This window comes from Homo sapiens, chromosome 10 (assembly GCF_000001405.40).
Source record: "Homo sapiens chromosome 10, GRCh38.p14 Primary Assembly".
NCBI classification, from domain to species: Eukaryota; Metazoa; Chordata; class Mammalia; order Primates; family Hominidae; genus Homo; species Homo sapiens.
Genome location: NC_000010.11, coordinates 72,263,743 through 72,278,761, shown reverse-complemented (window position 1 = coordinate 72,278,761; position 15,019 = coordinate 72,263,743). Strand labels below are relative to the sequence as shown.

The 15,019-nt window shown below is 52.0% G+C and overlaps 1 protein-coding gene and 1 long non-coding RNA gene across 4 annotated transcripts, besides 6 other annotated features; one reads left to right on the top strand and one right to left on the bottom strand.

Annotated features, from left to right (window-relative positions):
• Nucleotides 2,672–3,195: an enhancer, noted in NCBI's record as "H3K4me1 hESC enhancer chr10:74035325-74035848 (GRCh37/hg19 assembly coordinates)". NCBI's record gives its function as "activates a minimal SCP1, AML or CMV promoter by ChIP-STARR-seq in primed H9 embryonic stem cells {active_cell/tissue: H9 hESC(primed)}" and the evidence as "EXISTENCE:reporter gene assay evidence [ECO:0000049][PMID:30033119]".
• On the bottom strand, nucleotides 2,726–4,838 carry DDIT4 (DNA damage inducible transcript 4). The gene is made up of 3 exons (NM_019058.4): nucleotides 4,702–4,838; nucleotides 4,341–4,605; nucleotides 2,726–4,067 (listed from the first exon to the last, which is right to left on the bottom strand). Exons 2-3 carry the CDS (start codon nucleotides 4,543–4,545, stop codon nucleotides 3,574–3,576), a joined length of 699 nt encoding a protein of 232 aa, NP_061931.1. The 5' UTR covers nucleotides 4,546–4,605; nucleotides 4,702–4,838; the 3' UTR covers nucleotides 2,726–3,573.
• Nucleotides 4,464–4,583: an enhancer, noted in NCBI's record as "active region_3536". NCBI's record gives its function as "activates an Ori minimal core promoter by ATAC-STARR-seq in GM12878 lymphoblastoid cells {active_cell/tissue: GM12878}" and the evidence as "EXISTENCE:reporter gene assay evidence [ECO:0000049][PMID:35858748]".
• Nucleotides 4,839–5,050: 212 nt separating the features above from the next.
• On the top strand, nucleotides 5,051–7,376 carry DDIT4-AS1 (DDIT4 antisense RNA 1). 3 transcript variants are annotated; one of them, NR_186444.1, is made up of 3 exons: nucleotides 5,051–5,098; nucleotides 5,689–5,912; nucleotides 6,245–7,376. It is a non-coding gene; the product is annotated as a DDIT4 antisense RNA 1 (long non-coding RNA). The 3 variants fall into 3 exon arrangements; NR_186445.1 differs by having other exon boundaries at nucleotides 5,051–5,912; NR_186443.1 differs by having other exon boundaries at nucleotides 5,051–7,376.
• Nucleotides 5,294–5,817: an enhancer, noted in NCBI's record as "NANOG-H3K27ac-H3K4me1 hESC enhancer chr10:74032703-74033226 (GRCh37/hg19 assembly coordinates)". NCBI's record gives its function as "activates a minimal SCP1, AML or CMV promoter by ChIP-STARR-seq in primed H9 embryonic stem cells {active_cell/tissue: H9 hESC(primed)}" and the evidence as "EXISTENCE:reporter gene assay evidence [ECO:0000049][PMID:30033119]".
• Nucleotides 5,818–6,341: an enhancer, noted in NCBI's record as "NANOG-H3K27ac-H3K4me1 hESC enhancer chr10:74032179-74032702 (GRCh37/hg19 assembly coordinates)". NCBI's record gives its function as "activates a minimal SCP1, AML or CMV promoter by ChIP-STARR-seq in primed H9 embryonic stem cells {active_cell/tissue: H9 hESC(primed)}" and the evidence as "EXISTENCE:reporter gene assay evidence [ECO:0000049][PMID:30033119]".
• Nucleotides 7,309–7,809: an enhancer, noted in NCBI's record as "H3K27ac hESC enhancer chr10:74030711-74031211 (GRCh37/hg19 assembly coordinates)". NCBI's record gives its function as "activates a minimal SCP1, AML or CMV promoter by ChIP-STARR-seq in naive H9 embryonic stem cells {active_cell/tissue: H9 hESC(naive)}" and the evidence as "EXISTENCE:reporter gene assay evidence [ECO:0000049][PMID:30033119]".
• Nucleotides 7,810–8,310: an enhancer, noted in NCBI's record as "H3K27ac hESC enhancer chr10:74030210-74030710 (GRCh37/hg19 assembly coordinates)". NCBI's record gives its function as "activates a minimal SCP1, AML or CMV promoter by ChIP-STARR-seq in naive H9 embryonic stem cells {active_cell/tissue: H9 hESC(naive)}" and the evidence as "EXISTENCE:reporter gene assay evidence [ECO:0000049][PMID:30033119]".

The window sequence follows — 15,019 nt, the reverse complement described above, 5'->3', positions numbered from 1 at the left end:
CCCTGCCCTCCTCTCCTCGTAGCCTGAGAGTCTGAGGCTAGTGAGGGAATCTTATGTTCTCTGAGCTTAGAGAGAGGGCATGACCCAAGGCTCGGACAGCCAATGCTTAGTTAACCACTATGTGCCAGGCCTCAGGAGAACCTAGGGGTGTTCTATAGAGCTAGGGGGATATAAAACAAGTGCATACAATGAGATCATTGTATGCCATGTTTTCACACTGCAATTGTGAAAGATGGGGGGAGGGAAAGCAGAAAAGAGCCATAAAAAGGCTGGAACTTGCTCTAGGCCTTAAAGGAAGGACAGGGCTTGCCAGCAAAACTCAGGAAGATATCCTTGGTGGAAGGCACTAGAATGAGCGGAGTCTGCGGCTAGAGAAAAGGGCAGTCCAGATTGACTTGCCCCCAGTTAAGGGGAATGGTGGGAGGTAAGCCTCAGTAGGGAGTATAGGGCCCAACACCAAATGTCCTAAAAGACCAGCAGTGGAATCTGGCAATAGGGAACCATTGCAGGTTCTAGAGCATTGACCCGATGAGGTGGGAAATAGGAATAAGAGAGGGAATCCTGTAGGAAGGGAGGTAATCAGTACATATTTTCCAGGCCAAATAGGGCAATCTTTTTCCTTTCCTTTCCTTTTTCCTTTCCCCTTTCCTTTCCTTTCTTTTTTTTCTTTCCTTCCTTTCTTTATCAGATAGGGTCTCACTAAATAGGACAATTTCTGAAAGCATTTACCAAAGTTGATTTTATGTGTAGGTCTTTATAAGCTTTCTTAGCTTTCCTGCTTAGCAACAAAGAAGCCTGCCCCATTTTTTCTTAGCAAGTCCGGTACCTGGGGCAAAGCTCCCTGCCATGTCTTAGCAGACCTCAGGACCCAGAACTGTCTTGGGCCTCAGCAACCCTCTTCCCTTTACTGTGAGACTCAAGCTCAGGGCTCCCACTTGCGGACCCTTCTGTCCTGCTGCAGGAGGATTTTCAGGCCCTGTGAGAATGAGGGAAGCCAGTTTGGCTCTGGGAGAGGGCATCTCAGCTGAGCTAGCTTGGGAACCCAAGCTTTGATTTGGCCTCAGTCTGACTATCTAAGAAAAGGTACGGTGCTGGGCTCAGCTGCCTCCTTGGCTTGGAGAAGGGCTAATGCTGACCAATCCATCCAGCTCAGGCCCCCAAATACCAACAAGACTCTGTACTCTGAAGACAATTGTTTCCTTGCTTCTCTTTTGAGACTGGGGAGGCAGGGTCGTGAGCATTGGCACAGATCTCAGTTCCCGGGAAAGTGCCCTTCAGACTCAGCCCAGGTGTCAAGCTTGCTTTACTCCCAGCCCTGAATCTCAATAGGCTGGGAGTGGACAAAGTCAGCCCTTATCCAAGAAGATGACCATTCCAGGGCTTGGGCCTCCATTTACTAATCTGTAAAACATTAAAAACCCCTGCCGCCACCCACCCCTCACAGGGTGGCTATTAGGAGGATGTGCTAAGAAAATGGGTGTGAGGGCTTTCCTCACACTGGTCTGGGCACCTTCTTCACTGTTCTCACTATCCATTTCCAAATGCACTTCTAATCCAAGTTTATCCATTTTGGGGAACAAATCACTCAGTTCTACCAAAGAGAGATGGGTCTTCCAAGTCATCGTAAAGTTTAGGACCCTCTATTGGAATCCCTGATGTAAATGCAGATTCCTGGGGCCCTGGCCCGGATGCACTGAGAATCTCCAGGAGGGCCCATGTGATCTGATTACACACGCTCAAGTGCAAGAGCCACTGTTTTAGTCTTGAGCAAACAAGGCCTGTCTGGGACCAGGAAGAGAAACAAGGGAGATAAAAACTCTCCAAATGCCAGTTGGTGTGGGTGGATGTAATTCCAGGGAAGAAGGGGGAAAGGCCCTGGGCTTCATCTGGCCCAACTCCAATTTGCCAATTTTTCTGACAAGGAACTTAGGGCCCAGAATGCACAATGCATCTTTTGTTTTTAGAGACAGGGTCTTGCTGTCACCCAGGCTGCAGCCTTGAACTCCTGGACTCAAGCAATCCTCTGGCTTCAGCATCCCAAGTGGCTGGGACAACAGGTCACAGAGGACGTCTGGGTGACCCAAGGTATCGTTAAGGTAGGCCTGCTATTTCCTTGCTCTCTAAGCCCTTAGCACTCCTTCCCTCACCTGTGTGTGTGCAAGGAGTTCTGCACCTGCCTGGTCCAGACTTCCTTCCAGTGGCAGCTCATGCCCCTCTTGGTTCCTTGTCCAGTGAGAGGCATGAGCTAAGTAGCATTTTTCAAACTCCCCCTCTTAGTCTTTTTAAATCCAGAGATAAGATTTGTAATTTTCATGATGGTAGAACAACTGATTTTTTTCTCCCAGAAAGAAAAAAGGTATTTTCTAGTTCTTTCACTGTTTATTAAAGACCTTGGGCTCAGTGGGCCCTCCTGTCTGGGCCTTCTAACCGGGGCAGCCAGGTGAGCTCTCCCTCTGGAGACTCTGGCTCGGTGGGAGGTCTGACTCACCCCCTACCTTCAGGGGTTTCCAGTGTGTTCTCCTAGTAGCTTCAGCCAGCACAGGGCCAAGGGTTCTTGGCACAGATGGCACACGGTACACATACCTCTGTCACCAGGCTGGCAGGCAGTCCCGGAAAGGGATGGAGGAACACACAGGTGGACCCCAGGGCCTGATGAGACCTGCCTTTCACTAGCACCCATCTCCCTCCTTTTCACTTCATGGTACTGATGAGAGACTCAACCAACTGTTTTAACAAACATGTTTATTAGAAAAGTAAAAAATATTGCATAGGTCTTAATACTTGAACATCAAGTGTATTCATGAACAGTGAGTATCTTATCTTCATGTAAACAGTTCTAGATGGAAGACCCAGATGGCACTCCTCCCGGGGAGGGGTTCCAGCCCCCACCCTCTCAGCCCCTCCCCTGCCAGCTCAACTCTGCAGTACACGATGGGGGAAGGCTTAAACGCAGCTGCCAGGTGTAATTTTTCAAGTGTCAAAGATCCCAAGTGATCCCTGACACCCACCCCTTCCTACTCTTACATTCATGCGTCTGTAAGATAGCTGCCTACAACAGGTCAGTAGTGATGCTCCGATCAGAAAAACAAGATACAAAACAAACAACAAACACACTTGGTCCCTTCAGACCAGTAAGATACACAAACCACCTCCACGACCTCCGACCTCCCCCCTCCCTCCGGCTGCTCTGAGGAGCACGTGCCTCTTCCTTCACCCTGGGCCGGGCTGGGGCGGGAGCAGCCCAGCTGCTCTCTGGATGTCACACCACTGTTAACTGTCAGTAACAAAAATAATAAGGTACATGCTACACACACATCCAGCTGGAAGCCTTGTTGGCCCCTAAGCCTTTGTTTCATGCTACAGTACTGAGGGGTATGTGTCCCCAATGCACAGCCACCCGCACACAACTCAATGAGCTTCCTGGGAAACACTATTCCCCCACCTCCACCTTAGGTGGCTGCCTCAGTTTTCCAACCACAGGAATCAGTCCCTCAGCTCCTGCCTCTAGTCTCCACCCCAAAAGTTCAGTCGTCTCTGTCTTGGAGGGCACTGTCGGCCCCCTCAGGTTGAAGTTCAACACTCCTCAATGAGCAGCTGTTCCGAGCTGTACAGCTTCTTCTTGATGACTCGGAAGCCAGTGCTCAGCGTCAGGGACTGGCTGAAGCCAGGGAGGAAGGGAGAGTTGGCGGAGCTAAACAGCCCCTGGATCTTGGGCCAGAGTCGTGAGTCCAGGCGCAGCACGAGGGTCAGCTGGAAGGTGGGCACCAGGCTGGGGTCGAGTGCCAGCTGGCCCACGCTGTGGCAGCTCTTGCCCTGCTCCACGCAGACGTCCAGCAGCGCCCCCCGCAGGCCGCACGGCTCGCTGTAGGCCAGGCGCAGTAGTTCTTTGCCCACCTGGCTTACCAACTGGCTAGGCATCAGCAGGCGCGCAGGGCGTCGAGAGCCCAGCCGCGCCTGGGCCAGGCTCTCCTGCAGCAGCTGCATCAGGTTGGCACACAAGTGTTCATCCTCAGGGTCACTGAGCAGCTCGAAGTCGGGCAACGACACCCCATCCAGGTAAGCCGTGTCTGGAAAGGAGAGCACACAGGAAGGGGTATTAGAGCGGCTTCAAAACGAAACGCACAGGCGGGGGAGGTGCTGTTTCCTTAAGAAACCAACGCTCCTTCCCACTCCGTGCCTCAGTTTCCGCCTCACTCACCTTATACTCCAATTCCCCCTGCCCCCAAGCAATCTGGGTCCCGATGGGATAGGAAGCCAAGGCGGCTCTGACCCCTTCCAGCACCGGGGCTTCCCCACCTTCCCGGCCCCTCGAGTCGCGTCGGCACCCGCCCACCGCTCACCTTCCTCCGGCCCGAAGCCACTGTTGCTGCTGTCCAGGGACTCGCAGTCCGAGCTCTCCAGGCTCGTGGAGCGGTCAAACCCCTCCTCCCGGGTCGCCGACCCCCAGGCTGAGCGCGGCGGCCGATCTGGGGTGGGAGTTCGGGGCAAGGACGAGGGCGAAGAGGAGGTGGACGACGACGAGAAGCGGTCCCAAAGGCTAGGCATGGTGAGGACAGACGCCAGGGCGTTTGCTGATGAACTCAGAGTGCCGGAGCGTAGAAGCCGCTGTAAGACAAGAGGGGGACCGACCAGGCGTCAGTCTGGGGACCAGACCAGACCAGACCGCGAGCTCTAGGACCCACACACAGAAGGGACACTCACCAGCTAGCGCGGTCAGCGAGAACTGCTAAGACAAGTGCGTCCTGCCGCTTGAATGGGTGTGCGAACCCGTGCCAACCACCGAGAGCCGCCCAGACCCGTCCCAGGTCCACGCTCGCACCTCCCCCTTGGCCTGCTGCGCCCTAGCACCAGCGCGGAGCAGCCTATAAGGACTAGCGCGGCGAGGCCACGCCTTCTCTGCGCCACGACCCAATCCAGACCCGGGAGTGTGGCCCGCCTTGGCCAATGGACTCCGGGCGCACGTAAGCAACGTTCTCTCCTGCCCGGTGACAGCGGCCGGGCCCCGCCTCCATTGAGCCCCAGAAAGCTCGCAGTCGAACCCCGACCCACCGCCACGCCCCCTTTCTGGAAAGGATCCGCGGCGGCTGCAGCTGCCAAGGTCCCCGAGGGCGCTCGCGGCAGGGGAGGATCAAGGAAAGACTTGTTTATTATAGGGTTGCATTGCTGGAGGAGGGGACAGCCCGTGACCAGGCTAGGAGGAGAGGCAGGGAAGCGTGAGGGGGCGGCGGGCAAGGAAAATGGTTGCCCCCAGCGTCTTGGATCCTAAAGCTTCGGGAACAACTGGGCACACACGGGGGGGATGCCCGTGGGACGGCGGCGCAGGAGCAGACGTTAGCCCGGCCTGCCCTCGCGCCCTTACCCCCTCTATCCCTGCTTTGCAAAGGCTCGGGATATGGGGGTGGGGTCCACAGACTGGGAAGCTCCGGGCACCATGCTGCCCCTTCCCCAAGGCCCCACCTGCCCATCCTGGCTGTTACTCTACAGCCCAGGACATAGGTTAATGGGGATCCCTGCCTCCTCCCAAACCCTATCTGCTTCCACTTCCAACTGCTCCCAAGGAGAGGGCTTGAGGAGAGTGGTTAGAGGAGTGTGGATGGGCCCGGGTTCATAGCGCCCAGTGCAGGGATGGAAGCGAGGATTCACAGCAGTCGGACTCACAGACCCATCCGCCCTCCCCGCGGACTGCAGGCAGCGCAGCCGGACCTCCCTGCCCGGGCGCCCCCCGGGTCCTAGCACCCAGCGCTCGCCTAGCGCTTTGTGTAAAAGATCCAGACGGTTGCATCAGGACCGAGGACCGAGATCTCTGGAAAAGCCAGGGAGTGCAATGGCCATCCCGTGTTTCATCATTCAGGCGGGGCCACAGGAAATCTGGCCTGGCAGCAGTGCTCAGAGGCTAACAGTGGTTGCTGAGGGTGGGTGGAGGTTGAGACGGACTCGACCTTTATTGCTCTAAAGGTTTATCAGTCTGGGACAGGAGGACCCTGATGGAAGAGGGAGCCAAACTTACATCAGATGCCCAGGGCCCCGGGGGCGGGCAAGGAACCTAACCAGATAGGCGGGCCTTGCCTCGGGTCAGGCTTGCTTTCGCGTGACAAATGACACTTGCAGGAGATGTCAGGCCACTGCCCTCCGCAACCCCCATCCCCACCCCAACTTAGAAAAAAGAAAAAGCTGACACTTGGGCCAAGACTTAGAACCTGAAAGAACCAGAATCCAAGCTCTGCACCCTACTCTCATTTGACAGGTGGGAGACCCACTTATGGAGACAAATTTATGGATTAAAAAAAGAAATCAGGGGATCCAGGAGACATCTTAAAGACAGCTGCAGAATGGAATAGTTTGTGAGCCACTGGGACTTTCAAGGCCTTCTCTTCCCATTCTTCAAGCTCTGTCGCTTGTTGGAGCCTTAAAGACACCAGATTGCTTAACAATGGGGATATAAAAATTAAAAATAATAAAAGACACTGGATCAAGGCGGCTAGTTGTTCTTGGAGGGCTGGAGTAGATGACATACTCTTGAAATCACTCTTACAGAGGTGACCTGCATGGGTGTGTCTTCCTGCTGGCCAGAGAGAAGATCTGAATTAATCCATCAGGAACATTCACATTTCCTCCAGGCTGATTTGGGCGGGACACCTAAACACCCTAAGGAAACAAGAGTTACGATGTTTTTTCTTCTTCTTCTTCTTTTTTTTTTTTTTTTTGAGATGGGGTCTCACTCTTTCACCCAGGCTGGAGTGCAGTGGTGCGATCTTGGCTCACTGCAAGCTCCGCCTCCCGGGTTCACACCATTCTCCTACCTCAGCCTCCCGAGAAGCTGGAACTGCAGGTGCCCACCACCACGTCCGGCTAATCTTTTGTATTTTTAATAGAGAGAGGGTTTCACCGTGTTAGCCAGGATGGTCTCGATCTCCTGACCTCGTGATCCGCCTGCCTCGGCCTCCCAAAGTGCTAGGATTACAGGCGTGAGCCACCGCGCCCGGCCTAATTTTTGTATTTTTAGTAGAGAGACGGTTTCACCATGTTGGCCAAGCTGGTCTCAAATTCCTGAACTCAGGTGATCCACCAGCCTGGGCCTCCCAAAGTGCTGGGATTACAGGCGTGAGCCACCACGCCTGGCCTTTTTTTTTTTTTTTTTGGACAGAAAAAAAATTCAGGAAAATGTGGAACACTGACCTAAAGAAAGCACAGGCTTTTTTTTTTTTTCCTTTTAAGTAGATATTCATAAGGAAAAGAATCCGGGTCCGGTTTGGAAAGGTCAGTTATTAGGAATCATTTATTCATTCAACAAACACCATCAAGACTGCCCAACAGTGTTCCAAGCACCTTTTTTTCATTCACTGTCTCCTTCTGTTAATAAAACAACTTGTCTCAAATGGGAAGGGCTGGTTAATGCGCACTGAGTAATTTTGTTTCTTTTCAAAAGAAATCTATTAGTGTTATTGTCTCATTGTGTTTCTAAAAAGCGATTAAAAAAAAAAAAGAAGGCAGTCCTATTGTTGGAAGTGTTTCCTAAAGTAGGAGGGAGTGGGTTCCAGGGTAAAGTCTCCTGCAAGGAGGCCTGGCAGAGGCCTGGGGGAGTTGGGAGTGGTCAGTGTCTTCCCCTGTGACAACTGCTAAAACCCCTGATAGAGAAAAGGCCTGTATGCCAGGAGAATCTCAAAGGTCGGGAGGAGGGTAAAGTGGGGGTTCTTAACTGCTAGCCTCTCCCAGGAGCCAGAGTGCAGGGCCTTGGTCCATCCTGTCCTGAGGTGGAGGGTAGATTCCCTTCCATCTGGCTGGAGCTGGAAAGACTTTGTAACCACCCTCCCTACACCGAACACCCCCTCACTCCACAGCTCTGCAAATGGGGCCCTTCTGGTCAGGAGGACGCTCCATCTCCTGGCCTCTGAACCAGACCTCATTGGAGCTCTCACAAAACCTAGAAACCCTGCATTTGGTGTCCACCCACCCGCTCCTCCTCCCCTCAGGCCAAGGTGGGCTTGCCTAGACATGCTTCCACCAGCAGCCTTGGCCACCCAACTCTGGCATCCCTTCCTCCAGGAAGCCTCCCCTAGCACCCTCATCCCGACACTCCATCCCTTAGGTGCCTTCCTCAGGGCATCTTTCCAGCCAGTGCATATCTTTGTTGTTAATAATTCTTTCCACTTTGGTCTTCCCACTAGACAGTAAGCTACTTGAGGATGGCGTTCTACACATCCTAACTTCAAGTAGCCAGCACTGTGCCCAGTACATAGAAAAGGCTCAGCAAATGTTCCTTGGATAAATACATGAATGAATGGATGGATGAATGAATGGCTAGATGAGGCAAGAACGTGGCTTCTCTGGCTGTGGCAGCTCACACTTTTAACCCACACACTTTGGAGGTGAGAGGATTACTTGAAGCCAGGAGTTTAGGACCAGCCTAGGCAACATAGTGAGACCCCGTGTCTACAAAAAATTTAAAAATTAGCCAGGCATGGTGGCTGATGCCTGTAACCCCAGCACTTTGGGAGGCTGAGGTGGGCAGATCACCTGAGCTCAGGAGTTTGAGACCACCCTGGGCAACATGGTGAAACCCCGTCTCTACTAAAATACAGAAAATTGGCCAGATGCAGTGGTTCACGCCAGCGTTTTGGGAGGCTGAGGCAGGTGGATCACGAGGTCAAGAGATCCAGACGATCCTGGCCAACATGGTGAAACCCCATCTCTACTAAAAGTACAAAAATTAGCTGGGCGTGGTGTCGCGTGCCTGTAGTCCCAGCTAGTTGGGAGGCTGAGGCAGGAGAATTGCTTGAACCCGGGAGGCGGAGGTTGCAGTGAGCCGTGATCTTGCCACTGCACTCGAGCCTGGGTGACAGAGCGAGACTCTGTCTCAAATAAATAAATAAATAAATAAATAAATAATAAAAATTAACTGGGCATGGTAGCACACATCTTTAGTCCCAGGTACTCAGGAAGCTGAGGTAGGAGAATCGCTGGAGCCTGGCCAGGGTTACAGTGAGCTATGATGGTACCACTGCACTACAGCTTGGGTGACATAGTGAGACAAAAACAAAAAGCACATGGCTTTTTCCAGAATTGCAGACACCCGCATCTAGATTCCCAGGATCTAGTGGGGCCTATGGGGTGCCTTCAAGAGGACCCTGATGCTACCTTTCCATCCTCTTTATGGCAAGTGCTGCCAAGAGCCTTGGACAGATCTGACCATTTCCCTTCCTCCTCAGCTGGGGTCTGGGAATGGGGCTTCTAAGCCAATCCAGTTCTTCCTCTGGAATATAGTCAGCGACCTAGCCCAGGAAACTGGGGAGAGACGTGAAATCTTGCAGAGGGCTGATCTGTTGTAGGGAATTTTTTTTTTTTTTTTTTTTTGAGACGGAGTTTCGCTGTTTCGCTCTTGTTGCCCAGGCTGGAGTGCAATGGCACGATCTCGGCTCACTGCAACCTCTGCTTCCTGGGTTCAAGTGATTCTCCTGCCTCAGCCTCCTCAGTAGCTGGGATTACAGACATGCGCCACCATGCCCAGCTTATTTTGTATTTTGAGTAGAGACAGGGTTTCTCCATGTTGGTCAGGCTGGTCTTGAACTCCCAACCTCAGGTGATCCACCCGCCTAGGCCTCCCAAAGTGTTGGGATTATAGGCGTGAGCCACCGCACCTGGCCTTTTTTTTTTTTTTTTGGAAACAGAGTTTCACTCTTGTTGCCCAGGTCTCAGCCTCCTGAGTAGCTGGGATTACAGGAAGGAAGGAGGGAAGGAAGGAGGGAAGGAAGGAAAGAAGGAAGGAAGGAGGGAAGGAAGGAAGGAAGGAAGGAAGGAAGGAAGGAAGGGAGGGAGAGAAATTAACCATTTCAAAGTGAACAGTTAGTTCAGTGGCATTTAGTACACTCACAATGTTGTGCAACCACTACCTCTATCTGGTTCCAAAACACCTTTCCTAACTCCCATGGAGGTCCTTTACCCATGAAGCAGTCACTCCCCTCAAAATGCTTTGAAGTGTTCCCTTGTTGGTAGAAGTAGGGCTGGGTGTGGTGGCTCATGCCTGTAATCCTAGCACTTTGGGAGGACAATGTGGGAGGACTGACTGAAGCCAAGAGTTCAAGACCAACCTGGCCAACATAGTGAGACCCCCATCTCTATTTTTTTTTTTTGAGACGGAGTCTTGTTCTGTTGCCAAGCTGGAGTGATCTCAGCTCACTGCAACCTCCGCCTTCCAAGTAGCTGGGACTACAGGTGCACACCACCATGCCCAGATAATTTTTTCATATTTTAGTAGAGATGGGGTTTCACCATTTTGGCCAGGATGGTCTCGATCTCCTGACCTCATGATCCACCCGCCTTGGCCTCCCAAAGTGCTGGGATTACAGGTGTGAGCCACCACACCTGGCCTATTTTTTTTTAATTAAAAAAAAAAGAAGAAGAAGCAGGGCTGCCTCTTTGCACAACTCCAGAGGATGCTGCTACCATTAGAGTCTGCATGAACATGTGTCTTCTGGAGAGTAGTGCTCCAGGGAGCACTCATCACATAGACACAATGTGCAACACGGCAGCCGCAAGACAACCCTGGTGGGGAGACTGGCCGACCTCTGAGCAGGAGTGGGCTGGTGTCATGTCCCAGGTGACTCAGGCCTCTGGAGTTGGTGATCAGGCCCCATGTCCCAGTGTCTGTGGCCAGGGCCCTGACCGTGCATAAACCCTGCCTCTTCCAGGACTGCACTCCATCAGAATAGAGCGCAATGCCGCAACCTGCAATTTAAAGTCAATGAGCACTCACTCCCGGCCACCTGCCCCTCCCCGTTCAGGCGGTTCCGTCTGGAGCACCGGTTCCCAGGGCCTCGGTCTGGCAAGTCACCCTGGTCGGGTTTGGGAAGTTGAACCAGATCTTGGGGTGGGGGTATGATTCCAAGAACCCCAGAATTCAGGATGGAAACCCCTGAAGGCCAGCCAGCTCGCTCGCATGCCTCTGCTTGGGGCGCCTCTGCAGCCCTTTGGAAATTTCTCATTGCGGCTGGTGGAAGTAGCTGGTGGAGGAGCCCGTGGGTCGAGGCATGAAGGAGAAGGTGGAGCATTGGGAGGAGGTGGAGATGAGAAGCCAGCAGAAGCGTTCCCAGGATTCTGTGGCTTTCTTGAAAAACAACAAACAGCTTGGTCAAAATAGCACGATTATAAATGCACCTGGTTTAGGAGGCTTGTGAAAAGCTGAAGTGAGGGCCTCAAGGAGGATTTTGTCTATCCTACTGGAGGGAGAGTTAAAAACTCAGTGAGGAGTCTTTGCAAATAAGGCTGCTTTTTGAAATGGAAATACTAACAATACAATGTATTGAGCAGTCTTTTTTTTTTTTTTTTTGAGATGGAGTCTCACTCTGTCACCCAGATTAGAATGCAGTGGCACGATCTCTGCTCACTGCAACCTCTGCCTCCCAGGTTCAAGTGATTCTCCTGCCTCAGCCTCCTGAGTAGCTGGCACTGCAGGCACGTGCCACCACGCCTGGCTAATTTTTGTATTTTTAGTAGAGACGGGGTTTCACCATGTTGGCCAGGCTGGTCTTGAACTCCTAACATCAAGTGATCCGCCTGCCTCAGCCTCCCAAAGTGCTAGGATTACAGGCATGGGCCACCGGGCCTGGACGGTATTGAGCAGTCTTTCAAAGTAGCTTTTAAAAATCTGTTGTCCAGACCGGGCGCGGTGGCTCATGCCTGTAATCCCAGCACTTTGGGAGGCTGAGGCGGGCAGATCACCTGAGGTCGGGAGTTCGAGACCAGCCTGACCAACATGGAGAAACCCCCATCTCTACTAAAAATAGAAAATTAGCCGGGCGTGGTGGCACATGCCTGTAATCCCAGCTACTAGGGAGGCTGAGGCAGGAGAATCGCTTGAACCTGGGAGGCAGAGGTTGTGGTGAGCCGAGATTGTGCCATTGCACTCGAGCCTGGGCAACAAGAGTGAAACTCCATCTCAAAAAAAAAAAAAAAAAATCTGTTGTCCAAGTATGCCCCAAGGAACAAATATAGTGCCATTCTACAGATGTGGACATTGAGGCTCAAAGTGAGAGTCCCGTAATCCCTCCGTGAACCAGTGGCTTTCATTTCAAGTCTGATTAATAATTAGAATCAGGCTGGGTGTGGTGGCTCATGCCTATAATCCCAGCACTTTGGGAGGCCAAGGCGGTCGGATCACGAGGTCAGGAGTTCAAGACCAGCCTGGCCAACATGGTGAAACCTGATCTCTACTAAAAATACAAAAATTAGCTGGGTGTGGTGGGACACCCCTGTAGCCCCAGCTATTCAGGAGGCTGAGGCAGGAGAATCGCTTGAACCCAGGAAGCAGATATTGCAGTGAGCTGAGATCACGCCATTGCACTCCAGCCTGGGCAACAGAGTGTGACTCCATCTCAAAAAAAAAAAAATTAGAATCAGCTGAGGAGCTTGTAAAACCGAGATTCTCATCTCCTCAACCCCCATTCTGATTGGGTAGGTCTGGGTGGGGTCCTTAGGAGCAAAATTCTCCAGGCGATTCTGATGCTTATCTTTAGTTGGGGTGCTTATTGACCTCTAGGAAAGAAAGATAGGCCTGGTTGGGTTAGGGGTGGGTGAGAGCTTGCAGCTGTGTAGACAGGGCTCACACGTGACAAAGGTGAGCTCACAGACAACCAGTTCTGCCTGGTTCTGCCTGGGGTCCTAGGTTTCCCAAGAAGTCATTTCCTCTGGGGAGAGGGCAGGGCAGTGGGAACCCCACAAAGGGCTAGGTTGATAAACCACCCATGCCAAGGGATAAGGGTTTTGAGAGCTGAGAGAGTAGCCTGAGGATTCTGGCAGACCTCTGTATCCCAGCAGTAGCAAAGGCACAGACAGCCTACCAGACTTCATGCAGCCCACCCGTCTCCAGCCCGCGTGGTCAAATGAGTTGTCCTAGGGACCCAGCCAGGCCTGGAACCTCGTCCTTCTGACTCCGGCACTGTCTCTTTTCTCCTCACCTGTCCCACTGACTGTCAGTAAGGAATCCCATCCACTTAGAGGCCAGGTTTCTGCCAGCCATTACTAAGATCCCTCTCCAATCCTAGGTTCTGAATCCTTATGAGGAGAGAAAGCAATGAAGTGCAGGGAGGGCTAGGCAACCCCCTCTCTCTAGTGAGTCTCTTAAACCTCGGCTAGCTCAGGCCCTGTGGAGTGAGAGGATAGGAGTCAGCAGACCTTAGTTGCAGGCTGTTTGGCCACTAAGGATGGATCGGAGTCTGGGCTGTGGCCCAGAAGCAGCCCCCAGGAAGCATACCATGTCTTTGAAGCCCAGAATTTTTATTACAAATAACACAATTTTGCATTTTATTATATATTTTATCTGTGTTAATTTCAGTAGCAAATGTTTAGATTACTTACTAGTTAAATTACTTAATTTCTCCCTCCAAAAAAAGAAAAAAACTTTTTTTTTCTTTTTTGAGACAGAGTCTCGCTCTGTCCTCCTGGCTGGAGTGCAGTGCCGATATCTCAGCTCACTGCAACCTCTGCCTCCCAGGTTCAAGAGATTCTCCTGCCGCAGCCTCACGGGTAGCTGGGATTACAGGCATGCGCCACCACGCCTGGCTAATTTTTTTATTTTTAGTAGAGACGGGGTTTTGCCATGTTGGCCAGGCTGGTCTCTATCTCCTAGCCTCAAGTAATCTGCCTGCCTCGGCCTCCCAAAGTGCTGGGATTACAAGCGTGAGTAACCAAGCCCGGCCTTCATACCTCAGTTTTGAAAACACGGAACTAGAGAATCTCAAAGACCTCTTCAACCTCTACAAGGATCATAGCAAAGGAGAAAGATATAATACATTCCATGGAGCTGCTTTCCCCCAAACCCCAGTCCTAGCCCATAGGACTCTCTGCAGGAGGCCTGCCAGAGAAGGTAGAAATAGGCATTTCAGCCATTTCAGTGCTTTTGCCTTTTGAGGGCTTCCAATTGGTTTACAATATGGAAATATTGTTGATATCCATATAACAAAGGGGGAAGCAGGGATGGGGGTTTTTCCACCAGCCTAGGGAGTATATGACAGGGGATGACAGAGATGATCAGGACCTGCCACAGTTGGGAAAGCCCAAACCCAGGCTCATCATTTGTCTGGACAGCAAAATGAGCTCACTCTATTGTTGTTGTTTTTCCTTCTAGAGAAGAAAGGAGACCAGGAGGACCTGTCTAGCCTCTGCGTTTCCCAAAGGGCTGGGGTGAGTAGAGCTAGATCAGCAGAGAGAAGGGTCAGCCTTCTCACTGTCAGGATTCTTCTGTCAGTAGAATGAACCTTAAAATCTTTCTTTTTTTCTTTTCTTTTGAGATGGAGTTTCGCTCTTGTCGCCCAGGCTGGAGTGCAATGGCGCAATCTTGGCTCACCGCAACCTCCGCCTCCCAGGTTCAAGCGATTCTCCTGCCTCAGCCTCCTGAGTAGCTGGGATTACAGGCATGTGCCACCACACCTGGCTAACTTTTTTGTATTTTTAGTAGAGATGGGGTTTCTCCATGTTGGTCAGCCTGGTCTCAAACTCCCAACCTCAGGTGATCTGCCCGCCTCAGCCTCCCAAAGTGCTGGGATTACAGGCATGAGCTACCATGCCCGGCTAAAATCTTTTAATGTTAAGATAAGCAGGTCCTAAGAGAGTACTCCTTCCAGCCCCCAACCTCCCCCACTTTATGGACAAGGAACTGACAGGGCAGGGAGCCTTAGGAGGTTCCAGGATCTCCCTCTCTCCTGGCAGTTAGGCCCCACTCAATCCTCTGGAACTTTCTTCTCCCTGGCTTTGGTCTCCTTCATCACCCTTCTGCGATGCCTCTAACCTCACTCAGAAGTGCATTTTATCTCCAGTGGCCTTAATAGTCAAAGGCTTGGGAAACTCAAGTCTAGGCAAAAGGCAGCTGCCCAGGTCTGCATGCTGAGCCTTTCTCTGGAACACCTGGGCTGGCAGGAAATGGAAGCTGCCAGCCCACCTGGCAATTTGCCATCTCTTCACAAAGATCTTTTTTTTTTTTTGAGGTGGAGTCTCACTCTGTCACCCAGGCTGGAGTACAAGTGGTGCA

Excerpts from the sequence above, each read along its gene's own strand:
- DDIT4 (NM_019058.4), bottom strand. The coding sequence starts at position 4,545 with ATGCCTAGCCTTTGGGACCGCTTCTCGTCGTCGTCCACCTCCTCTTCG. Across the intron at positions 4,068-4,340 it reads TGGCTTCGGGCCGGAGGAAG|ACACGGCTTACCTGGATGGG; the intron begins GTGAGCGGTGGG and ends TCTCCTTTCCAG.